Source organism: Homo sapiens, chromosome 9 (assembly GCF_000001405.40).
Source record: "Homo sapiens chromosome 9, GRCh38.p14 Primary Assembly".
NCBI lineage: Eukaryota > Metazoa > Chordata > Mammalia > Primates > Hominidae > Homo > Homo sapiens.
The window spans coordinates 23,504,268-23,530,908 of NC_000009.12; the positions used below are offsets into that span (position 1 = coordinate 23,504,268).

General features: G+C 38.3%; 1 long non-coding RNA gene across 1 annotated transcript in view; it reads right to left on the reverse strand.

Annotated features, from left to right (window-relative positions):
- Nucleotides 1-26,641, reverse strand: part of LOC101929563 (uncharacterized) — a 171,709-nt gene that overhangs the window by 3,577 nt on the left and 141,491 nt on the right. The window contains exons 18-27 of the long non-coding RNA NR_121602.1: nt 21,361-21,448; nt 20,391-20,546; nt 19,160-19,214; nt 18,406-18,584; nt 17,748-17,815; nt 10,362-10,548; nt 9,053-9,164; nt 8,833-8,925; nt 7,329-7,501; nt 5,338-5,490 (exon numbers count right to left, since the gene is read on the reverse strand). This is a non-coding gene — a long non-coding RNA (uncharacterized LOC101929563). The remainder of the gene's footprint in view (nt 1-5,337; nt 5,491-7,328; nt 7,502-8,832; nt 8,926-9,052; nt 9,165-10,361; nt 10,549-17,747; nt 17,816-18,405; nt 18,585-19,159; nt 19,215-20,390; nt 20,547-21,360; nt 21,449-26,641) is intronic.

Below are 26,641 nucleotides of genomic sequence, written 5' to 3' on the forward strand. Positions count from 1 at the left end.
ATATATATATATATATATATATATATTATGTATATATATAATATATACATGTATATATTATATACTTATATGTATATTATATACAATGTGTATATATGTATAATTACATACATATATGTATATTATATACATATATGTATATATATTATATAATATATGTATATATTATATACACACATATATAATATATACATATATTATATATGTATATATTTTATATATACATGTATATATTATACATATATTATATATAAGTGTATATATTATATATATATATATAATATACATACGCGTATATAATATATACATATATAATATATACGCGTATATATTATATATACATATATATGCATATATACACGTATAGTAATACATACGTATAATACACGTATAATACGTGTATTATATATATATATATATACACACACATATATATATATATATATATATATATATTTTTTTTTTTTTTTTTTTTTTTTTTTTGAGATGGAGTCTCTGCACTCCAGCCTCTGTTGCCGGGCTGGAGTGCAGTGGCACAATGTCGGCTCACTGAAACCTCCACCTCCTGGGTTCAAGTAATTCTCCTGCCTCAGCCTCCTGAGTAACTGGGACTACAGGCACCCACCACCACACTAATTTTTGTATTTTTAGTGGACACAGGGTTTCACCATGTTGGCCACGGCCAGGATGGTCTCAATCTCTTGACCTTGTGATCCACCTGCCTTAGCCTCCCAAAGCGCTGGGATTACAGGTGTAAGACACCGTGCCCAGCCAATTATGGGTATATTTTAAATTACAAATTAAATTTCTTTAACAGTTATAAATTAAGTTTTTAAATTTGGGAGCATAAAGTTACTCACAGTATTTTCTTACTAATTTTTGATGCCTACAGCACTACAGAGTGATTCCAACATTTCTTTTATTGGTAATTTGTATTTTTATTTTCTTTTCAAATTGTTATCTGTATAGCTAGGGCAACTCTTCTCAACCGGGGTTCCATGAAAGAATTAAGCCTGAATGCCCTAAGGGTATCTACCATGTAAAATGAAAAAAAAAAATCCTATTGATCTAAACTAGTAGTATTAGATATGTAACTTTCTTGGAATATAAAGCAAATACACAATCCAATCATATTTGTTAAGTCTCAATTATCTTTCAAAATCCCAGTTGTGAAAAGTCACTTCTCAATTTTATTGATCTTCTCAGATAATTGATTTTTTGGTTCACTGATTTTTTTTAATGTTTGCTCATTTTCTGTTTCATTGATTTTCATTATTTATTATTTCTTCTCTTCAATTTACTTTGGGTATAATTTACTATTTTTTTCTTCTTCTTTTCCACTATGTTTTTTACTAAGATGCAGCCTCACTATATTCCCCAGGCTGAACTCAAACTCCTGGGCTCAAGTGGTCTGCCTCCCGAGAAACTGGGATTACAGGTGCACAAAACCATACCTGGTTTACTCTTCTTTTTCTCTCTTCCTAAAGTGCAAACCTAGATGGTTAATTTAATATGATTCTTCTTTTTGTAATATAATAATTTAATATTTTAAATTTCCATCTGAACAATGTTGCATCTGTATCTCACAAACTTTGATACTTTATGTTTTTATTATCATTTAGTAATGTATTTTGTGATAATCCCTATCATTTTTTTATTTGTTATATAGATTACTTAAAATTGTGTTGCTTAATTCCAAAATATTTGAGAATTGAGCCAGGCACATTGGCACGTGCCTGGAGCCCCAGCTACTCTGGAGGCTGAGGCAGGAGGATGGCTTGAGACCAGGAGTTCAAGAGAATTGTGCAGATATTTTGACATTAGTTTCTAATCTAGTTATTTTATGGACAGAGAATACATACTGAGATATTTTGATAATTTTAAATTTACAACACTTTTTAATGGCCCATCATATATACATAGTCTTTTTTTCAGATTTATTAAGGTATAATACAAATAAAATTGTTTATATTTAAGGTGTACAATTTGATGTGTTCATATACGTGAACATTGTGAAATGATTACTACAAACAAGATAATTAATATATCTATCACTACACATAATTATCATTTTTTTCTTTGTGCACATGTGTGTGGTGAGAACACTTAAGATCTACCTTCTTAGCAAATTTCAAATATGCAATACAATAAATAATGTTAACTATGGACAGAATGCTTTATATTAGATATCCAAAACTCATTCATCTTGCATAACCGAAGCTTTATACCTTTTAGCCCATATCTCCCCATTTCCCTCTCCCTGCAGCTTCTGGAAACCACCATTCTACTCTCTGCTTCTACAAGTTTGACTATTTTGATTCCACGTATAAATGCTAACATGTAGCTTTTTTCTTTCTGTGTCTGATTTATCTTAGTTAGCATAATGTCTTCCGTGTTGATTTATGTTGTTGCAAGTAGCAGGGTTTCTTTTTTTTCCTAATATGTATATCTCACATATATGTATATACATCTTATTTTTTTATCCATGCATTCATAATGGACACAGGTTTTTCCATATCTTGGGTATAATGAATAATGCTTCATGCTACAATGAACACAGGAGTGCAGATATCTCTTTGAGATAGTTATTTTATTTCCTTTGGATATATGCCCAGAAGCGAAATTCCTGGATCCTGTGGTAGTTTTTATTTTTATTACTTTTAGGAACCTCCATACTGTTTCCCATAGTGGTTGTACAAATTTCTATTTCCACCAACAGTATGCAAGAATTTCCTTTTCTCTATATCCTCACCAAGACTTACTTTTTATCTTTTGATAATAACACCCTAACAGGTGTGAGGTGATACCTCATTGTAGTTTTGATTTACATTTCCCTGTTGATTAGTGATGTGGTTTGGCTGTGTCCCCACCCAAATCTCAACTTAAATTGTATTTCCCAGAATTCCGACATGTTGTGGGAGGGACCAAGGGGGAGGTAACTGAATCATAGGAGCAGGTCTTTCCCATGATATCCTCGTGACAGTGAATAAGTCTCACGAGATCTGATGGGTTTATCAGGGGTTTCCACTTTTGCTTCTTCCTCATTTCACCTCCCGCCATGATTCTGAGGCCTCCCCAGCCATGTGGAACTGTAAGTCCAATTAAGCCTCTTTTTCTTCCCAGTCTCTGGAATGTCTTTATCAGCAGTGTGAAAACAGGCTAATACAGTAAATTGGTACTGAGAGTGGGGCGTTGCTGAAAAGATACCTGAAAATGTGGAAGCGACTTTGGAACTGGGTAACAGGCAGAGGTTGGAATAGTCTGGAGGGCTCAGGAGAAGACAGAAAAATGTGGGAAAGTTTGAAACATCCTAGAGATGACTTGTTGAATGGCTTTGCCCAAAATGCCGATCGCGAAATGGACAATAAAGTCCAGGCTGAAGTGGTCTCAGATGGAGATGAGGAACTTGTTGGGAACTGGAGCAAAGTGACTCGTTATGTTTTAGTAAAGTGACTGGTGGCATTTCTCCCCTACCCTAGAGATGTGTGGAACTTTGAACTTGAGAGAGATGATTTAGGGTATCTAGCAGAAGAAATTTCTAAGCAGCAAAGCATACAAGAGGTGACTTGAGTGCTGTTAAAGGCATTCAATTTTATAAGGGAAGCAGAGCATAAAAGTTTGGAAAATGTGCAGCCTGACTATGTGATAGAAAAGAAAATCCATTATCTGGGAAGAAATTAAAGCCAGCTGAAGAAATTTGCATAAGTAGCAAGGAGCTTAATGTTAATCCCCAAGACCATAGACATGTTAGAGGTCTTCAAGGCAGCCCCTTCCATCACAGACCTGGAGACCCAGGAGGAAAAAGTGGTTCTGTGGGCCAGGTCCAGGGTCCCCATGCTGTGTGCAGCTTAGCAACTTGGTGCCCTGTGTCCCAGCTGCTCCAGCTGTGGCCAAAAGGGAGCAACACACAGCCTGGGCTGTGGCTTCAGAGAGTGGAAGCCCCAAGCCTTGGCAGCTTCCACGTGGTGTTGAGCCTGCAGGTGCACAGAAGTCAAGAAGTGAGGTTTAGGAACCTCTGCCTAGATTTCCGAAGATGTATGGAAACACCTAGATGCCCAGGGAGAAGTTTGTTGCAGGGGCAGGGCCTTCATGTAGAACCTCTGCTAGGGCAGTGCAGAAGGGAAATGTGGGGTCAGAGCCCCCACACAGAGTCTCTACTGGGGCACTACCTAGTGGAACTGTGAGAAGAAGGCCACCATCCTCCAGACTCCAGGATGGTAGATCCAATGACAGCTTGCCCCTTATGCCTGGAAAAGCTGCAGACATTCAACACCAGCCATGAAAGCAGCCAGGAGGGAGGTTGTACCCTGAAAAGACACAGGGGCAGAGCTGCCCAAGACCTCAGAAACCCACCTCTTGCATCAATGTGACCTAGATGTGAGACCTAGAGTCAAAGGAGATCATTTTGGAGCTTTAAAATTTGATGACCCCGCTGGATTTTGGACTTAGATGGGCCCTGTAACCCCTTTGTTTTGGCCAATTTCTCCCATTTGGAAAGGCTGTATTTACCCAATACCTGTACCCCCGTTGTATCTAGGAAGTAACTAGCTTGCTTTTGATTTTACAGGCTCATAGGCAGAAGGGACTTGACTTGTCTCAGATGAGACTTGGACTGTGGACTTTTGGATTAATGCTGAAATGAGTTAAGACTTTGAGGGACCATTGGAAAGAGACGATTGGTTTTGAAATGTGAGGACATGAGATTTGGAGGGTCCAGGGGCAGAATGATATGGGTTGGCTGTGTCCCCACCCAAATCTCAACTTAAACTGTATCTCCCAGAATTCCCCCACGTTGTGGGAAGGACCCAGTGGGAGATAATTGAATCATGGGGGTCAGTCTTTCCCATGCTATTCTCATGACAGTGAATAAGTCTCACAAGATCTGATGGGTTTATCAGGGGTTTCCGCTTTTGCTTCTCCCTCATTTTCTCTTGCTGCCACCCTGTAAGAAGTGTTTTTCACCTCCCACCATGATTCTGAGGCCTCCCCAGCCATGTGGAACTATAAGGCCCATTAAACCTCTTTTTCTTCCCAGTCTCTGGTATGTCTTTATCAGCAGTGTGAAAACAGACTAACACAATTAGTGATGCTGAGCACCTTTTCTTATAGTTGGTGGTCATAATATGTCTTCTTTGGAGAAATGGCTTTTCAGGTCCTTTGCCTACTTTTAAATCAGGTTATTTGGGTTTGGGATTTTTTTTTTTTAATCTGATATATGGTTTGCAAATATTAATATTTTCTCTCATTCTTTAGGTTGCCTTTTCACTCTGTTGATTGTTTCCATTGCTGTGCAGAAACCATTTAGTTTGATGCAATCTCATTTATCTATTTTGTTACCTGTGCTTTTGTCGTCATATCCAAAAAAATTTGTTGCCCAGACCAATGTCAAGACACGTTTTCCTATGTTTTCTTCAAGGAGTTTTACCATTTCCAGCCTTATGTTTAAGTCGTTAATCCATTTTGAGTTGGTTTTTGTTATGAATAATGGTCCTAGGCAAAAAAGTAAGAATTAAATGTGGTGTTTCCTTATCTCAAGCATCACAGCCCTGTGCTATCTATTGTCTAATATCTGAGAATAGTTTTTTCATACATGTTATCCAGTTATACAGTTCTTCACACCAAAATGTAAGGTCCAATAATCATATCTCTGCTATGGCTGGAACCACTTCTACACTTAAAATATACTTTATTTTATTCATTTCATTCTCATAACTTCATGAAATAAGTATTATTAAGCCATTCTATGGCTAAAATGACCAACCTTAAGTAACCACCTTCTGTTATCCTTTAAGCCCATCAAGCGTAGAAATAAATCTTATTAACTTTGTTGTTCATTGCATTTGACTCCGTTCTTGGCACACAATAGATGCTCAGTAAATAAACTTTGACAGATACTATTTTCTCCTATTTTCTCCATTATACATATAAAAAAATCCTAAATCTCAGACAAGACAAATTGTGGAAGTGGGGAAGAAACTAATATTGATTAAGTGCTGGGATTTGAAAACTATGGAACATAGGCCAAAATTGGCCCACTTTTTGTTTTTCTTTGTTTGTTTGTTTGTTTGTTTGTTTGTTTTTGAGACGGAGTCTCGCTCTGTCCCCCAGGCTGGAGTGCAGTGCGGTGGCGCGATCTCGGCTCACTGCAAGCTCCGCCTCCCGGGTTCACACCATTTTCTTGCCTCAGCCTCCCGAGTAGCTGGGACTAAAGGCGCCTGCCACCACACCCAGCTAGTTCTTTTGTATTTTTTAGTAGAGATGGGGTTTCACCGTGTTAGCCAGGATGGTCTAGATCTCCTGACCTTGTTATCCACCTGCCTTGGCCTCCCAAAGTGCTGGGATTACAGGCATGAGCCACCGCACCCAGCCAAAACTGGCTCACTTTTTAAAAAATAAAGTTTTATTAGAAGATAGCCATGCTGTTGTATCATCTCTGTCTGCTTTCATGCTGTCATAGCCAACCTGGGCAGTTAGGTCTGCAAAGCTTAAAATATTTAATATCCAGTCCTTGACAGAAAAAGTTTGCCAACCCCTGGCTATTATACATTATAATGCCAAGCAATGTGCTTGGCACCGTTACATACTTTTCACCTCATTAAGTTTCCCAGCTACTCTAAGAAATAAAAAATAATACCGTTATCCAGATGTGGACTTTGGGATTCAGAGAGGTATTTACAACAGGTTCTATGGCTTATAGATGGCAAAGCACAAATTTAAATTCTGATTTGTCAGACTCTGATGCCTATGCACTTTTTATTTCTAACAGTCAGATAACTTTGAAAAGAAATGGAAGATGATAAGTGGAATGGCCCATTTTAGTGATCTGCACATCATCACACATGAACAAGTTGATCTAAAGCTAAAGCTACTGAAGAACTCGCTTTATAACCTATAATAAAAATAGTTAAAACTATTATTACTTATAAGGAATTTTTTATATGTCAACCTTTGAGCTAATAATTGTATGTGTATGGTGTGTTTTATGTACATGAGCATACATATATAACATATATATGCTATATATAACATAGATGTATATATGTATATAAATGTGCATGTATATAATTTAATTTATTTCTCATAGATATTCTATGAAGATATTGTTATAGGTACAGAAATAAATGCTTAACAGGATTGTATTACAAGATAGTAACTGGTAAATCAAGGATTCAGATGATTTTCCTAACTCACTAATTCTATCTGTATCTTCTTTCCATTCTTTTCAACTCATTAACATAGGTTCCCATGAACTCAAACATTACTCGATGGCATAAGAAAGGATAATATATTCAGGAGCTCTATGGTCTCACAAAATGCCAAAAGCTCACTTTCCAACCACTCTTCCGGGCCTCCTTGGCAAGCTTTCCACCATCACTCCCAGCACTGTCAAGATGTGATGCTTTTCTTTCTTCTCTTTTTTAAGTGCTTTAAGCTCTGAGCCATCATTATTTAATTTTAAATTATCTTCTGATTTCCTACGTGGGCTGAGAATGAGAGTAGTCTAGGGAAAAAAATGGTAGTGACAATAAAAGAGAAGGGAAGCATTTGTGAAAATCCTTTTCTTCTTTTCAACAAGAGCTGTAATAGTGTTTTGTATCAACATGACTCCTTCCTTCAGCTGTAACAAAGTTAGAGAAAGTGTTGGTACTATAAATTGAGAGTTCAGGAGGTGATTCTACCCAGTCTTTTCAACAAGATTGGTATTATAGGTTTCCCACATAGAAACCAGTGCAGAAATATTTCTAAAGCAATTTTGTCTTTGCCAGGAGCCCTTCCCTACCTCCTTACGCCTCTTCTCTTTCCCAAAATGTTCCTAGGTTATTCGATCTCCTGGTGTCTTCCATGCATGATCCCCTCCCAAACCTCAGCAACTTCCCATGGTGTCCAAAATCCAACTGCTCAAGGGGCAGAGTTAGGGATGTAACTCACCATTTGCCCAACTAGATCTTTAAATAACTACCTCAAAAGAGAGCTCTTTGATAATAAACAGGCCAATAGGTATTATATAGACACAAATAATGCCAAATCTCTAGAACAACTAAGAGTCTGATGAAACATAACATGCCATATCTATAGATTTTTTTTGGAGGATATTTATTCGTGTAAAGATACAGAGATACAGGTCACTGTTGTCCCTCATGGATGCTCTGTAGGTTGTCTTATTTTTAGAAATGTTCCAAAGGTGAGATATGGCAATGGAGTAAATGTGTAAAACTTAAATGCAAATGTGACATCTTCTATAGCCAGTCAGAAAATTTCCAGTGTATTAGCAACCATGCACTCATTTCTCCAATAATAGACATTGCACTAACATTCTATCCCAAAGGGAGCAGGAGTGGGCCTGACAGCCTAGGGGAGACCAAAGAGTTGAAAAATCACAGCAAAGGAAAGTGAACCACTAAGTGGGACAACAAATCCCATAGGGCCTATGAAGCTGGCCACCATTTCAACTATATCTCACCAAAAGTTTTTAATTGAGTCCATTGAGGATTTTCTTTTTTCCTTGTGGGGATACATCCTTGATTTTATAACAGCATTTAACAAGGAAAATTGGATTCATTTTAGGATGAACAGCTGGAGCGCATCAGTTCCATAAAGCAAAAGCTGACAGTATTTCCATTTTAGTCACCATGTAGAAGCTTCTATGATGCTCAGTTGGATTATGCTTACCCTGAACCAGCTCACTTTCTTCCAGCATGTCCATGTACATCAATATCATATTCCCTGGCACCCAAACCTTAACTATGCCTCCTTTTCTCATTCATTTCCCAAAATTTAGCCCAAGGATAGATGCCAGCCTTACAGATAGCATCAGTAGCTAATCAGAGTTACCTAGAAATGTAGCAATAGTCCAGAGAGGATGACAACAGCGCAAGCTAAGAGTCACTTGACTTTCACCATTTCCCTGCTCCCTGCCTCAAAGGCCTGTGAAAAACAGATGGGGGAAATAGAGTAAATTAGAAGACCATACTCTTTGCTACAAGTCACTGGCTATATTTGATAGGTCTGAGAGGGAGAGGAAAACAAAAGGAGATTAGAATTTTAGACTTACATGGGCTGGGCTCCATTACAACTAAAAAGGTCCAAAAAGAACTGGAATCTTCTTAAAATGTTAACAGAGGACAAAAATGGAGTAATTCTGCAGAACAAGTTTAAGATAGTAACTGAAAAACAATAAGGTATTTTTCAGACTTGTCCTGTAGTAAATTCAAACTGATAAACAGATAGCACTGTTTTTGTAACTTAATTTATGTAGCCAAAACACAAGCTTAGACTAGTGCAGAAAACACATTCTTTAGGATCACATAAGTCTGGTTTCAAATCTCCATCACTTAGTACCTGGGTGAACTGGATTAACTCACATCTCTTGAGTCTGTTTTTACATCTACAAAATGAGAACATCATCCATCTACTGCACAATCATCATGAGAATTACTTGAGATAATGTGTAGAAAGTGAGTAGCACAATACTGGACACATAATAAGCATTCAACAAATCTTTCTATTATCACTTTTGATTGCCTATAATGTGTTTCTCTCATTTTGGCCAATCCAAATGCTATGATTCTTCTGCAGGTTTGCCTTTTTATGAATTCATACTTAACTATCATATTCAAGAGTTTTACTCAAGTATCTGCAAGTGATTGTCAGGAAAAAGAAAGGGTGGACATTCTAGCTACAACTCCCACAGGGCAATTTTATATAAAAATAAAAAGCAGATTTTGGTTCAGTATCTGAAATTGCCTTCCAACAATTTAAGCTAATCGATAATAAATTAGAAAGAGTGAACTCCTCATCTCCCTAGATAGGGATGCTGCTGAATGGTGCAACATACGGCAAATATAAGCTTTGGTATCTGATAGATTGAGGTTCAAATCCCAGTTGTGTCACTTATTAGCAACAAAACCTTGGCCAAGTTGCAAAACCTCTGAGTCTGTTCCCTTAATGTGAAAATTGGTTTTAATAATACCTATCTGATCAGAGTGGTTCTGAAGATTATAAAAGAGCCTCCCCTGTTCCCTTTGCCCTCCAAAAAGCTGCCTTGGCCTCTCTGGGAACCAGGGTAACCAAGAAAACGACAAAGACCTGTCGGGCTCATAAAGCCTTAGGAAAAGGTAACGGCACGACAATGCCTGCCAGTATCACAGAAGCTGGCAAGACTGTAGCCTAAGCCCAGCTCAGAGTAGGTATTATGACACAGTCATTTACAAGATAAAAACTCCTTCTCAAACATGCACACTTTCATAACATCCTCTTCACAGTAGCCCTTACTACCATCATATTCCACATCCAATGACTAAAAAGCAGGAGCATTTTTTGGAAGGGATGAGAAGAAAGTATGTAAATGGGACTTTGCTTACTTTCCAGAAGTGCTCATCTTTTATTTTTTCTGGGCTTCGAGCATCTTTTTATACAACATAATTCTTTAGATATTGAAAAAGTATCCAGGTAGGTTCAGATGCTGTGTTATCCATTACTTGGAACAACAGTCTTCTTTGCAATTATCATTATTGACATGTCAAAGTGACTACCAATGGTGCCAAAATCCTATGTATTAAGGAGGAAAGAAAATGAACCAATATGATAGACTGAGTACACAGATTTACCTCCCAATATCCCAAATCCCTTGAAGTTACAGAAAAAAAAAATGCTTTGTAAACATGATTCCTTCATTCATCTGACAAATATCTAAGGCTCTCCTACTATGCTGTAGGTGCTACGGTGGTGAACAAAATATGTGGTGAACATGAGGTCACTGCTAAAGTGGTGAATAAAATACGTGGTGAACATGAGGTCACTGATCTCATGGAACTTACATTAAAGTCAAGCCGGGGGAGAAGAGAAAAAAATACAATAAGCAAGCAAACAAATAGGTCAGTGAGATAATTGTGGATAGTGATATATTCAACAAAATAATTAAACCAGAATACTATGATTGTGAGTGACTGGTAGAAGAGGGTTGGGGGACTATTTCATATGTAGCAGCCAGGGAAATCCTTTTAGAGGAGATAATGTGTGAGCAAAGACCTGAATGATCCAAAGATCCAGATCTGCAAAAATCTCTGGGGTAGAATATTCCCAGTAGAGCACATAGCGAGTGCAAAGGCCTAGAGCAGATGTGAGCTTGGCCCACATGAAGAACAGTAACCCATCCTTAAAAGCAAAGTGATATCCATGGACCAGGAATTTTGAAGAATGTCTAGGATAGAAAAAACAAAGGGAGTTGGATTGCCAGGGAGGCAAATGCAAATTTTCCTAAGACAAATCTGAACTAAGGTAATTCCCAAGTGGTACTGTCTGTAGTGGGATGCTAGACAAAGGTCACAGGACAAACAAAGGGCCCGTGTGGAAAGATTATCAGCCAAGGAAGCACAGAGTTTCCTAGTATAGCTCAATTCACATCTTTCAAGTGCCTCACCTTTTAAGTCCCCTTGAAGAAATGGCATATTTTATACATTAAGGCCCTTTCCATCTCTCCCTCTCAAAAAAAAGGGAGCACTGTCATGAGATCATTCCAGACAAACTCTAACATTCCCTTCCAGATCTAAATATGTAATTACCTAAATTTAGATATTTTATTTGCTGTTATTTTATAATATTACCTAACACTTGGAAATTGTATGGTAATATTATAAAATAACAGCAAATAAAATATCTAAATTTAGGTAAGTTGTTTTTCTCTCACAAATAAAGAAACAATTGAATTTCATGTAGAAATAATTGACTAGCTTTACTTTAAAACACACACAAAAAAATATTTTGTAAATATTTATGAACCCACCAAATATTCTAAGGGAGAAAATTCAAATTTAGAGATTTTGATTCTACATATTATTATTTTCAAAACCACTTCTTCTGACCTGGTTAGACACTGGGTTGCAGAAAGCAGATCAGTTCTGGGCCTGGTCATGCCACCAAACAGCTTTGTGACTGGGGTCAATCCACGACATGTCTTTACCTCAAATTCCGCAGCAGAAAATAGCAAAAATAACACGTCCTACTTACCTCAAAGGTTGACTTTTGGAGTCCTATAAAGTTAAATATTGGGAAGTGATTTTTTTTTTTTTTTACAAATAATGTGTTATTGAGCTGATTATATAGCCCTCTCAGCCACTCATTCATTAAAATGTTTAAAATTCTTACTATACGCAAAATCCTGAATTAGATATTACAGGGTTTAAGGAAAATAGCAAACAGAGCCCCTAAACTCCTTATAATATAGAGAAATAAGTAGTCACCTTTTCTGAGTACTGAAACATGGATGCATGGAAATCATCTCTGCATTTCTACCTGAGAATGATGGCTGTTATTTAATGTGTTTAAGGTATTTTGATTTTGTAAAATTCTGATTTTAGAATACACCCCCCTTGGGGAGAATCTTCTAAGCGAGAAGTTATAAAGAGCCCGTGGGACATGGTCTGATCTGGTAGAGAGAGCCTGAGGAAGACTTGCTCATTCCGAGATTTCATGTTGATCAGTTACCTTGGTCTGAAAATAGCAAAGTGCTAGAAATACCTTTCAGAGAGAGAAGTTACATGTCCACTGAGGAGGGAAAACATGGGAAAAGGAAGATGCCAGGTTTCTCTATGAGCTCTGTAATGGGGACAGCTAATATAAATTGTGGATTGGTAGGGAAGTAAGAAAAAGGAAAACACATGCAGGTTAGAGTGTTTTCAAAGAAAAATCTCCACAAGTCACAGTGACTGAATACCATGTGTAATGAAAGACAGGGACTGTCAATGCTGATGGAGTTTCAAGCCTGCCTAATTGGGGAAATGCTGGTGTTATTGATGAAGGAAAGGTACAGCATGCTGAGCCCAGTGTAGATGGAAGGAAAAGGATGAGCTCAGCTTGGCAAGTGATCATATGAGGGGAGAAAATAGAACAGCCAAGTGGGGATCTTCAGCAGGAATTAAAGACAGCACAGCTGGAAATTAGGTGAGAGAACATGGCTGATGGTATAGATTTGGGCATTATTTTTATAGATGTTATCCAAGAAGCAGACAGACATTTGTAGCAAGAGAAAGAGGCCAGAAACCAGGCTGAACTTTCAGAAATGCTCAGGGTTCAGAGTTAGGGGACAGAAAGAAGAAATGCCAGGATTTGAGGCAAAGATCAAGCAAGGAAGTAAAATGAATAAGCTTGGAAATAGGTAGAGGGGTTTCAAGACAGATAATCAGTATATTCTTGAGCTTCTTATTCAATAAATGTGTCCGTAAAGGAAAAGAAATAAGATGGTAGCTCAGGAGGGTACCAAGATCATGCTAAGATTTTCTTTCAAGGTGAAGGAAAAACATACAGATTGGAAGTCTACACAGGGAAAGAGTTTGAAGCTACCGGAGAGAAGGAATAAATAAAGCAACATCATTCTCAGATAGGATTTAGCTTTAGAGAAAAATAAAGATACAGATTCCTTTGAGCTGAAGGGAAGGGCAACAGGGGTAAACATTAAAAACGGAATAGAGAATCATTTATCACTGAGTGAGGATATGGACTTCAGAAGAATTAAGAGACTCTGAAATGGCTATTAGTAGACATGTGTTAAAGCATGAGGAAAAAACTTGCAGCTAAGTATTTCAGTGCTGAACTGGGGAGCAATCGCAAAATAAATATTTGCTGAGTTCCTTCTATGTGCTAGGCACATGCATTTGAAGCCGAATACATCTTTTACTAGCAACACTCTGTGACCAGGGCTCAGGGGTGCAGAGAGTCAAGGAGAGGACTACTTAGTATGGAAGTGGGGACAGCACTGAAGGAAGTGCTGGCCAGGAGTCCAGAGTCCAGAGCCACTCACAAAATGCTATTCAAGATTCTAATAATTTTTCTAGTTTTGTTTTGACAAAACTTACCACTTTTGGCATCCCTCATTTACATCTAGATCTTAGATATCATTGAACCCAATGTTTCTTAAAGAGGGCTTCTGTGAGATTCAGCAATGAGACCGAACAGCTCCACATTTATTGATTTTATATATTTTGGTCTTTTTAATATGTCTATGCCGGCAAGATTTCTTTTGGTTAGAAGAGAATACCAAATGATATGTTTTGGATATGTCCCCACTCAAATTTCATCTTGAATTGTGACTCCCACAATTCCCATGTGTTGTGGGAGGAACCTGGTGGGAGGTGATTAAATTGTGGGAGCAGGTCTTTCCTGTGCTGTTCTCCTGATAGTAAATGAGTCTTACGAGATCTGATGGTTTTAAAAACAGGAGTTTCCCAGCACAAGCTCTCTTTTTGCCTGCTGCCATCCATGTAAGAGATGACTTGCTCCTCCTTGCCTTCTGCCATGATTGTGAGGCTTCCCCAGCCAAGTGGAACTGTAAGTCCATTAAACCTGTTTCTTTTGTAAATTGCCCAGTCTCGGGTATGTCTTTATCAGCAGCGTGAAAACGGACTACATACCAACCTAAACTAACTTAAGTTAAAGAGGAAGTAAATGGATCAAACGACTAATAGCAGGAAGAGGAAGGTATAGCAGGGCTCTTGGGATAAAGGAAGCCAGGAATACCACTGAGATTCTCTCCATCTTTCCACACTGTATCTAGCCATGTATAAGTTTTACTTCCTTCTATTTCAGAAGGACTTCTTCCTCATAATAAAGAACATGGCCTCAGTCAGTTCCAAAGTCTCTTATAATCACTCTCTCTCTCTGATCCAAGGTCAAAAATCTTGGAGGAACAGCTTGATTGTGATTACTCTTGAAATTATAGGCATGAGCACAAGGACTATGGCCAGCCTGGATTGTTCAGTGTCCAGCCCTGGCTAATCAATAAGAAACTGTGGATATTTTAGAAATTGTCAGCTATTGCTACAAAGAGAATAAAATACCAAAGAATCCAACTTAACTTACAAGGGATGTGAAGGACCGCTTCAAAGAGAACTACAAACCACTGCTCAATGAAATAAAAGAAGACACAAACAAATGGAAGAATATTCCATGCCCATGGATAGGAAGAATCAATATCATGAAAATGGCCATACTGCCCAAGGTAATTTATAGAATCAATGCCATCCCCATCAAGCTACCAATGACTTTCTTCACAGAATTGTAAAAAAGTACTTTAAGGTTCATATGGAACCAAAAAAGAGCCTGCATAGCCAAGACAATCCTAAGCAAAAAGAACAAAGCTGGAGGCATCATGCTACCTGACTTCAAACTATACTACAAGGTTACAGTAGCCAAAACAGCATGGTACTGGTACCAAAACAGACATATAGACCAATGGAACAGAACAGAGGCCTCAGAAATAACACCACACATCTACAACCATCTGATCTTTGGCAAACCTAACAAAAACAAGAAATGGGGAAAGGATTCCCTATTTAATAAATGGTGCTGGGAAAACTGGCTAGCCATATGTAGAAAGCTGAAACTGGATCCCTTCGTTACACCTTACACAAAAATTAATTCAAGAAGGATTAAAGACTTAAATATTAGACCTAAAATTACAAAAACCCTGGAAGAAAATCTAGACGATACCATTCAGGACAGACGCATGGGCAAAGTCTTCATGACTAAATCACCAAAAGCAATGGCAACAAAAGCCAAAATTGACAAATGGGATCTAATTAAACTAAAGAGTTTCTGCACAGCAAAAGAAACTATCATCAGAGTGAACGGGCAACCTACAGAATGGGAGAATATTTTTGCAATCTATCCATCTGACAAAGGGCTAATATCCAGAATCTACAAAGAACTTAAACAAATTTACAAGAAAAAAACAAACGACCCCATCAAAAAGTGGGCAAAGTATATGAACAGACACTTCTCAAAAGAAGACATTTATGCGCCAACAGACACATGAAAAAATGCTCATCATCACTGGTCATCAGAGAAATGCAAATCAAAACCACAATGAGATACCATCTCACACCAGTTAGAATGGCGATCATTAAAAAGTTGGGAAACAACAGATGCTGGAGAGGATGTGGAGAAATAGGAACGCTTTTACACTGTTGGTGGGAGTGTAAATTAGTTCAACCATTGTGAAAGACAGTGTGGCAATTCCTCAAGGATCTAGAACCAGAAATACCATTTGACCCAGCGATCCCATTACTGGGTATATACCCAAAGGATTATAGATCTTATCTTGCTACTATAAAGACATATGCACACGTATATTTATTGTGTCAGTATTCACAATAGCAGACTTGGAGCCAACCCAAATGTCCATCCATGATGGACCAGATAAAGAAAATGTGGCACATATACACCATGGAATACTATGCAGCCATAAAAAAGGACGAGTTCATGTCCTTTGCAGGGACATGGATGAAGCTGGAAACCATCATTCTCAGCAAACTATCACAAGGACAGAAAACCAAACACCGCATGTTCTCACTCATGGGTGAGAAGTGAACAATGAGAATACTTGGACACAGGAAGGGGAACATCACACATCCGGGCCTGTCAGGGAGTAGGGGGCTGGGGGAGGGATAGCATTAGGAGAAATACCTAATATAAATGACTAGTTGATGGGTGCAGCAAACCAACATAGCACATTTATACCTATGTAACAAACCTGCATGTTGTGCACATGTACCCTAGAACTTAAAGTATAATAATAATTAAAAAAAAAGAAATTGTCAGCTAAAGTGAGGAAAGAGGAATAGTTCCCAGAAAGAGGGAAAAGAATTTGTATTATTAGGATGAATAAGTAAATGTTAATAGATATGTCTGTGATCTTTTTGGCAATTTTATTAAGGCTCACTAGATACGGCTTTCTTTGTATTTATCCAGAATATTCATAAGTTGTTGAATGGATAAATAAATTATATTTATGTATGCAGTGGAATACTATTCAGCAATGAAAATGAATGAACTACAGTTACACGCAGCATGGATGAATCTCACAAACATAATGTTACGTAAAAGAAGACTTAATAGCAAAATAACATGTACTACAGTTTTCTATTTATTAGAAAGTTAGTCTGTGATGTTAGAGGTCAGAAGAGCTCCATACACAGCTAGGATGGAGGGCACCAGGAGGCTAGTATTGTTCTATTCCTAGATCCAGGTGGTGTCACATGGATATGTTTACCTTGTAGTAGTTCATTAAACCATATGCTTATAATTTGTGTGCTTATACAGTATGTTATACTTAAATAAAAACTTTTTCTACAAAAATGCTTGTTAGCAATGTTGGGGGGTGGGAAAGAAATCCGCTCAATTTAGCTTGAATAAAGATTGCCACTATTAAGAATCATTGATGTAATTCTGTCCCCTATTCTTCTGCCCACAGTTCAACATTTTTCCTACTCCTCAGCCTTATACTTGGTTGACTTTCTGCTGTAGAGAGTCAGACTGGGAAAAAAAAAGACACAGACATATGAAATGCCTGTTCAGAGATAATCAGTAACAGATTCTGAAATAAAGGCTGTCTTTGACTTCCAAACCAAAATCTAGAACATTCCACCAATCTACCATAATATACACAATTCTACTAGTTCTGTTACCAAAGATTGCATTCATTTATTCACTCTGCATTTATTATAGGACAGCCAGTCAGGGAGTTCTCATTCTACCGGCCTGCAGCCCAGGGAGTGCTGGAATGGAAATATGAATAGAGTGCTGTATAACACATGCAGGAAGCCATTTTATACCTGGTGGATAAGGGTTGTCTTCAAGGAGGTATTTATATGCGTATGAAATATACACATACAAATGAGAAACATATGTTCAGTAGTTAGGTGGGTGAACTGGTGCAATACTGCCCAGATTAAAACTTTGGCCACATCACTTACCTGTTAGGCAGTATGATCTGCTTGACCTTAGCACAGCCTTTTTGTGCTTCCGTTTCCTCATTTGTAAACTGGGGACAAATTATGGAAGTTAATACATGTAAATGGTTAGGAAGGTGCTATACACATACAAGAGTACTAAGGGTGATAGAGGGCTCAGTGGGAGAAGGCTGGCCTTAGTGGGGAGGGGTATTTTATCATGGACATTGTTTATAACTGCCAACATATGGTAGTGAGAAAAAGTAGACTCCTTTTTTGGTTTTATTATTGTTTTTTAAAACTCTATAGACAATGTAACCCCTTATTGCCTTCATCTGAAGGAAATATTCCCACCTCCCCACCCTCCACCCCCTGTACTGCCAGGTACACAGAATGTACCATATAAGTGCTTGCTAGTATCATTGTTATTATTTAGGTATGGAAGGCCACGTAGGAATTCCCAGAAGAACTGGGAGAAGGGAGGTGGAAAGGACCTTCCTGACGGTGGCATCAACACATGCAAAGACAATTTTATAAAAATACTATGTTCATTCAAACTATCAGTTAATATCCAAGCCAGGAAGGGAACTGGGCTTTCCTGAGAACGGTAGTGCCATCATTGGGAAGAAAAACGAATCATTATGAGAATTTCCTTTGATAGTCATCACTGAAGTCCACTCACAATTTCACGTGAGATTCTTCTGCTTGCAATTAAACATTTTTCCCATTCCTCAGCATTACACTTGTTTGTCTTTCTGCTCTAGAGGGTCAAGGATGGCTTGAAGATATCCATCCTTGAGAGCGCAATTCTGCCAATGAGCTATTTCTGTGCAGTGCTTCTTACTCCGCCAATGTGAGCACCTACTTTAATAAAAAGAATAATCAACTGCTTTGTGGTTTAAAGGATTCTTAATGCCAAGACTTCAGAGTTCTTCTCTATAAGTGCAATTAAGTAAAGGGAGGGACAAAGCCCAGTTAAATAATTCATAAAAGCATAACTACAGGAAAAAATGTTTAACTTATAGTTTTTCCATTAACCAGTGACTTGGCTCCACCAAGTTAGAGGATTCCTTTACATCAAGGACCCAGCATACCAGAGGTCCCCAACCCTCAGGCTATGGGCTGTTATCAGGTCTGTGGCCTATTAGGAACCAGGCCGCACAACAGGAGGTGAGTGGCGAGCAAGCATTACTGCCTGAGCTCTGCCTCCTCTCAGACTGGCAGCGGCATCAGATTCTCACAGGAGCCCAAACCCTACTGTGAACTATGCATGTGAGGAATCTAGGTTGCATGCTCCTTATGAGAATCTAATGCCTGATTATCTGAGGTGGAACAGTTTCATCCTGAAACAATCCCCCAACCCCAGTCCTTGGAATAATGGTCTTCCACAAAACCAGTCCGTGGTACCAAAAAGGCTGGAGACAACTGATGCATACCATTGTATGAGTCCACATGAAAGGCAAGACTTGTCTTACTGGAGTCCCAGGAGGACTAAATGAAAGGATTATAAGAGAATGACAGACATTAGCACATCACGTAGATGACTTAGGCTCCCCCGTCCCCCACACACAAAACAAAGCAAAACAAAACAAAACCTCTATTTCAGCTAAAATTAAAAATAAGCAATATATTTAATCAATTTACACTAGCAAGTAAATATCACTTGTAAGTGTAATATGACTCCTCCTTAGGAGGAGCACCAAAGTAGAAAGCCAAACAAAACAGACTAAATACAATGAGATTATCTAGAGCCAAACTCCAGAAATGTTCCCAGTGGAGACTGTGGAATAGACAAAATAAATTTTAATCCATGAATTGTCTTTATGAATCGACAAAGCTCAGAACATTATGTAGAAGAATTTGTGAAAAATAAAAAATATTTTTTAAAACAGTAAAGTCCCAGTATAAAGTACTCCAATAGACAGTATTCTCTAGCCTAGGCCGAATTTCCTATCCCAACATAATGCTTAGCAGTACAGCACCTGCAGCCCTCCACCTTGGTTTGCATCCTGGTCTTGCCACTCTCAAGTTATATAACCTTGGACATGTTAGTTAACCTCTAAGAGCTTAAATTACCTTGTTTATAAAATGAGGTTAATACTGCTACCTATCACATGGAGGTTTACTAAAATTAAATGAAGTTTTGGCAGAAAGCACTTGGAACAGTGCCTAAAACATAGTAAGAATTCTATTAATGTTAGCTACCTTTTTTTAAACTCATTAACTATTACTTCAGCACAGGTGCATGGCCAGTGTGCTTGGGCAGGCAAAACCTTAGTGAAATTTTAAAAACAAAATGTAATTTGTGCTGTCAGAACGCCCAAACAGGATCTCATGAATCCTTGTGATGCTCATGAGAACAAAACACCTTACGGTGCAGTCAGATCAGAAACATCAGGCTCTAAGAAAACTCAGGAAATGGAAATCTCCCACGCACCCTTGAATGCCACATACCCAGACTTACCTCATTACCTTCTTATCCCTCTCCCATCCCGTTTCCCATGCCCTGGTCTTTCTCCTCCTACTTCTCTTATTGTCTATATCTTAGGAAATAGCATAGTCCCCATCCAGGGGCCCAGTTGAAATTCTAGCTAGTCAGACCCCTACAAGTCAACTGACATTTCATTCCTGCCTTAACTCCCCATCCCTAGAACCTCTAATACATACCTTGGAAATAGTTCATTTTCATCCACTCCTCTTCAGGCACACTGCTGCTGCCCTGGGCTCTGCCTACACTATTTCTCAGCTGAGCTGTTGCAATAGCCTCCTTATGCACCTCTCTGCTTCTATGCTTGCTCCAGGCCAATCATTCTCTATAAAACCCTTGGAGAAAAGTTTCAAACTTACAAAACCAATCATGGCACTTCCCCAATAAAAATTTTTGTTTCTTTTGAGCCACCTCCCTTCTCCTCTCTCTACTTTGAATTCCTTCCACACCACTGGCCCTATTTTATCCTCTGGCCACAAAAATTCACTGCAGGTGCCCAAATCTCCCACATTCCCTCTTCGCTCTGTGCTCTGGGCACATGCCCTTTCCTCTTCCCAGTAAGAGGAATACGAGTTGAGAAAACAAAGACAGCTATGAAGAAATAAGAAGGAACAAAGAAAGTCTAGCATCACAGAACATAGTAAATAAAGAAAAGGTTGTTTTAAGAATTGGGGAAGGAAATAAATTGTGTCAGAGGCAGAAACAAAAATAAGAACTAAGGATTTGGTCACACCGATTACTGCTTTTGTTCTCTCGATTTCTCTATTCAGAAATCTCCAACTCACCCTACAAGTCCCAGTCCAAATGTTGCCGCCTCTCTGGAGCCTTCCCTGACTTCTGTAGGCTGCCAACCCAGATGTTCTACTTTCCCACATTTATAGCATTATACACACAGCTCCACAAAACAATGTTCTAACCATTTTTATACTGGCTTCCTTGCAGGAATATCCTCCAGCACTGAGTCTGGATATTGCAGACCATGACAATGATAATGACAGCAGTGCAATAATAATAATAGTTGTTTCTTTTGTTGATAATGGCGACTATTTGGTAGACTCTAGGCACTTTGCTAAGGCATTTATTGATTGAATTGCATAGAATTGCTGTGTTTATTGGCCAAAAGGGTCATATATTATGACCAGGTCATACCTGGTAATTTCAGGTAGTTCAGCCTAAAACATGCACTGTTTTCATCTTCACCACAATTTGAAGAGGCAGATGTGTTATTATACCCATTCTATGAGAAACAAAATTGAGGTTCAGAGGTTTTAAGTAACTTTTCCCAAGGTGATATAACAGAAAAGTGAAGAAGCCCAGACCCTCATCCAGGACTGCCTGACTCTCAGCACTCCTAACCAGTATTATATTCTGACTCCCAGAATTATTAGTTAAATTGGTTAACCAACTAAAGCAATAATATGGGGGTCTCCAAAGATAATGGTTGCCTAGCATAAAGAGGCAAGTTGGTGTTCACGGAGTCTGGGTAGGACAAATCCTGATGTTCATGTGTGAGTTAAAACAGGCTTCTCTGCAGCAAGCGAAGGCTGTTAAATATTGAAATGAGCTAATAAGGAAGGTTATAGACTCTCCTTCAAGAGAAGGATTTCTTCCCCCAATGGAGAATAGATTCTATCTGTCTGAGATGGCTTAAATATAATCCTTTGTGAAGGTCAATAAATTGGCTTGCCAAGTCCTTTCCAGGTCCCTGATGATACTCGGATACACTGGCTCAATGTGGCTCAGTGCGTGGCCTGAAAATGGAGGGTGCTGAACCCTGAGCCAGAAATAATCTCTTCCTTTTTTAAACTCACTTCGCCCTCTGACTCGTCCTTCTTTGTGACATACGTGGTGAATTTGTACGTTGTTCTGATTTCTGCTGAAGAAAAATGCATCTAAAGCACAAAGCACGTGTGCTTCATTTTGACATCTCCCGGAGTGCCCAGCACAGTGCTTCATGCTACATTTTTAAAATGTGATCAAATGGTGCTTCTTTTTGTCTTCTGAAAGAATCCTATAGTATCAACTGAAAATAAGGCTGTTATTTTTGTCTAAAATTTATTGTCAAAATTAAACTCACAGCATAAGAACAAAGCTTTCTTAAGTGTGCTTTTGGTTTAAAGATGAACCAGTACTGTAGTCAAAAAGAAAGAGATCTGGCTAGATTACTAATAGATAATAGCACATCCCAATATCTAAGCAAGTGTCTAACAATTCCCAATTACAGTCACTACCATCTCAAAATAATTATAGTGGAAAAGTCTTTTTCATAATTGCCATTCCATAAGAAGCATAACTTTTTATAATTTTTAGTAAATAAGTACAAAAAATTACTCTAGATCCTTATTCTCAATAAAAATAACAATAACTACACTTGTACAGAACATTAAAGTAGGAAATAAAACAAAATTCCTTCAAATGGTTTGGCTCATTTGATCCATATAACAGTTCTTACCATTTATATCACCACTCCAGAGGATATTTACAGGAAACTTGGATCAGAGAGATGAAGAAAATTGCTATGAGTCACAAAGCTAGCAATAGCAGGGTCTAGACTAAAACCCAGGCATTTTCCTGGTTTCAAATTTCATAATTTTTCCACTGCATCCACATGGCCAATCTTTTTTTTTTAATGCATTTTTACCTCAGCAATATAGTTAATCAAGTTTCAGAGAAAGTGACCAATTTGCTGAAGGAGGCACATTTTATTACTTTTGGTAATTGAGCTTGAACATTAATTACTCACATCTTATAAAAAAAAATACCTGTAGTTAACAGTTATTGAGCATTTGCTTCTTGCCACTGAACTAAGTGCTTTACATGGAGTATCGAATTCATTCCTTAAAAGTCTGGAAGGTTGGTCTTCCCCTTTTCCAAGTGTGGAAACTGCAGCTGGCAGAGATTAAGTAACTTTTCCAAGTTCACATGGTTGGGAAAGTTAAGTGGGAGAGCAGTGGTCTGAACCCCTATCAGCGGAACCCAGAATCCAGGCTCTTAACCACCATGTTCATCTGCTATGCTACTGGTTCTCAGGGCTTTGTCCTGGGTAGTCAGCATCAACATCACTGGGGACTTGTAAGAAATATAAATTATCTGGCCACACCCCAGACCCACTGAATCAAAAGCTCCAAGAGGGAGCTCCAGAAATCTATGTTTTAAGCCCTCTACGTGCTCCCGAGGCACACTAAAATTTGAGAAACACTGTCTAGGCTGAAATAAGAGTAGACAGTAGCCATTTACAAGGATTCATTATACATTCTTTGCTATCAGGGAATGCAAAAAGGAAGTGAGAAGTTAGGGACAACTGACAACGTTGTTGAAAATCTTCAGAGGATATTAAAGCCAAAAAGGGAAAAAATAACCTTAACTAGTGCATGCAGAAGCTGAAAACAGCAATGATGACCAATTAATCAGGCAATATGTTACACTGTAATCAAAGACCAGAAAACTCCGGAAGGACTAAATGACATGGAGTTTATTACTGCATGGTAAATGACCATTAATAAAACATGGCTGTTAAAAGAACTAAGGAGATGAATAACTGTAGAAAGAAATGTCAGCTGTAGAAGGAACAACTTATGGTCTTAATCACTTGGAGAAATTACAGGTATGGACACAGAATAAAAAGAAAAGAATGGAAATTCACTGTGCTATAAGAAAAACATGGCATGAACCTGATAGCTATTTTAATACAAAATCAAGGTAGTTACAGAGACACTACACACTGGTTAATGAAAGTTTGACCTGGCTAACATTTCAACTGCCAAAAATAATGAATTTACATAATTTTAATAGTACATTGTTTGGCAAACATTCCCATCTCTAGTATGGAAACAAGAAACTCTCTTGGAGTTGCTAAAATGTAAAGATTACTTGACTGGGAATTTATCTTGCACCCTTGGTTATTCCTTGGATTCATCTGGCTGAAGACCTCCACTGACCTGTAATTTTTTTTTAAAGGACTAACTGCACATGAGTGCTTCTGAAGAGAAAACCAAGAGCAGCTTCCAAGGGCATATCCTTCCAATATCATTCATTATATCTCTTTAGAGGACTGCTTTTTCAAAGTACAATGTGGAGGGACTGAAAAGTGACATCAAGCAAAAAAAGCATCTAATAATACCTGCAAGGGAGTATAAAAAGAAAAAGGATTCCAACAGAGATACCAAAAGTCATTATACAACATAACTGTGAGTTATTTTTTTTTCATTTGATGGCTACTGATTTGAGGTCTTTAAAAAAAAAAAAAAAAAAACTTCAGTTGTTTAAGAGGAAGCAAATCAAAGAGAATGCATTCATTGAAGCTGTCAAAGGAAATATTAACCAGTAAAATTGTCTAAATGAGATTTATTAGGAAAAAGTATGCTCTTATCTAACTCAGTGTTTTGTAACAATTTTCCATTCCCATATTTTAAAAAATTAACTAAAATGTATTGACTGCTTACTACATGCCAGGAATCATTTAAGCTTATTATGTGAATTATCCTTGGTAATTTTCATAGCAACTCTATTACATATAACTGTTTGTGTCCTCCCTCCAATTCACACTTTACAGATAAAAAAGTTGAAGGCAGATAGCTAAAGTTACAGGTGGTATCTGTTCTCCAAGGACAGCCCCAAATAATTCCATCTCTTCCTATATATACAAGCTGCTCCAGCCACAATAAGGTGGAACTCACATTCCTCCGCCTTGAACCTGTGCTGGATCTGAGACTGATTTGACCAATAGAATGCAGAGAAAAAAAATATTATAAATCTTCCAAGACAGGAATTAAGAAGGCCTGGCAGCTTCTACAACTTGAAATCTAGCCACCATGTTGTAAGGAAGCCCAAGAAGCCATGTGGAGAGGCTCATGTGGAGAATAATCAAGGCCCCTGGCTGATAATTTCCACTGAGCTATCAGCCAACAGCCAGCACCAACTTGCCAGTTATGTGAGTGAACTATCCCCCAGCCCCAGTTAAAACACTCTAGCTGATGGTGCATGGAACATAGATAAGCTGTCTGTCTCCACCAAGCTCTACCCAAATGACAAAAATCATTGTTTTAAGGCACCAAGATTTGAAGTGATTTATTGCACATCAGTAGATAACTAAAACTTTGAACTACCCAAAGTTATAGAGAGAGATGACTCAACATTAGGTAGGCCATAGATTTCACTCTCAAATATATTAACAAACTGCACATGAGGATGTACAATGGAACAATTCCAATCAGAGGCAAGGGTGAATAAAGATGTTCATATATGGACATTTTATTCAACAAGCATTCATTGAGAACCACTGAGGAAGCAGGCACTGAGCCCAAATGTGCTGGATATAAAGGTAAATAGTCAGAACCCTGAGCTCAAGGAATTCTCCATGCAAGGCCACTAAGAAAAAATTACAATACCAGAGGAAATGAACAAATTGGTGTAGACTAACAGGTAGATTCTTGAGATCACTTGGCGACCTAAGTAAATACTGTTGATTTTCTTATATCTACCCTAAGGCAAGGAATTATAGGGGAAAAACTTAGAATGAGTTGAGAGTAGGGGTATGAAGAAAAGTTGCACTTAGAGAAACAAAGTAAACTTGCATGGTACAACAACAACAACCACAAAAACACTATATATACACACACGCATAAATATACACATACACATATAAAATGGAGGAGGAAAGGCAAAATGTGATAAATGGTTATTAGGAGAAGGAAAATTTTGTGTGTGTGGACAAGCGCGCGCGCGCACACACACACACACACACACACACACACACACACACACACACACACACACTACTCCTATGGCACGGTCCATAAAAACAGTTTGATCAAAGTGAAGGTCAAACAAAGAGGTTTTTTTAAATGAATTCTAGACTGGTTGTGGTGGCTCATGCCTATAATAACCAGCACTTTGGGAGGCCAAGGCAGAAGGCTCACTTGAAGCCAGGGGTTCAAGACTAGCATGGACAAAATACGGGACCTCATCTCCACAAAACAAAACAAAACAAAACAAAAGACCAAAAGTATTAGCTGTGCATGGTGGTATGCACCTGTAGAACCAGCTACTCAGGAGGCTGAAGTGGGATGATTGTATGAGCCCAGGAGGTCGAGGCTGCAGTGAACTATGATCACACCACTGCACTCCAGCTTGGGAGACAGAATAAAATCCTGTCTCAAAATAAATAAATAAATAAATAACTCTTTTTTAAAAAACAGGGACTACCATTTCCAGACAAGATGGGAGTTATTCCATTTCCCCCTCTTACAGAAGCAGAAACTCTTCCTCTTACAACTAGAAAATCGTGGCCATAACAGCACCAACAAGCTGACTCAATTTCTGAAAGAGGAGGAAAAGACAGTCTGCCTAGCAATCTCAGGACTTAAGAAAAGACACTGTAGTAAGTTTCCCTCCCCTTACTTCCCCTAGCCCCTCATATATCCCAGACGTG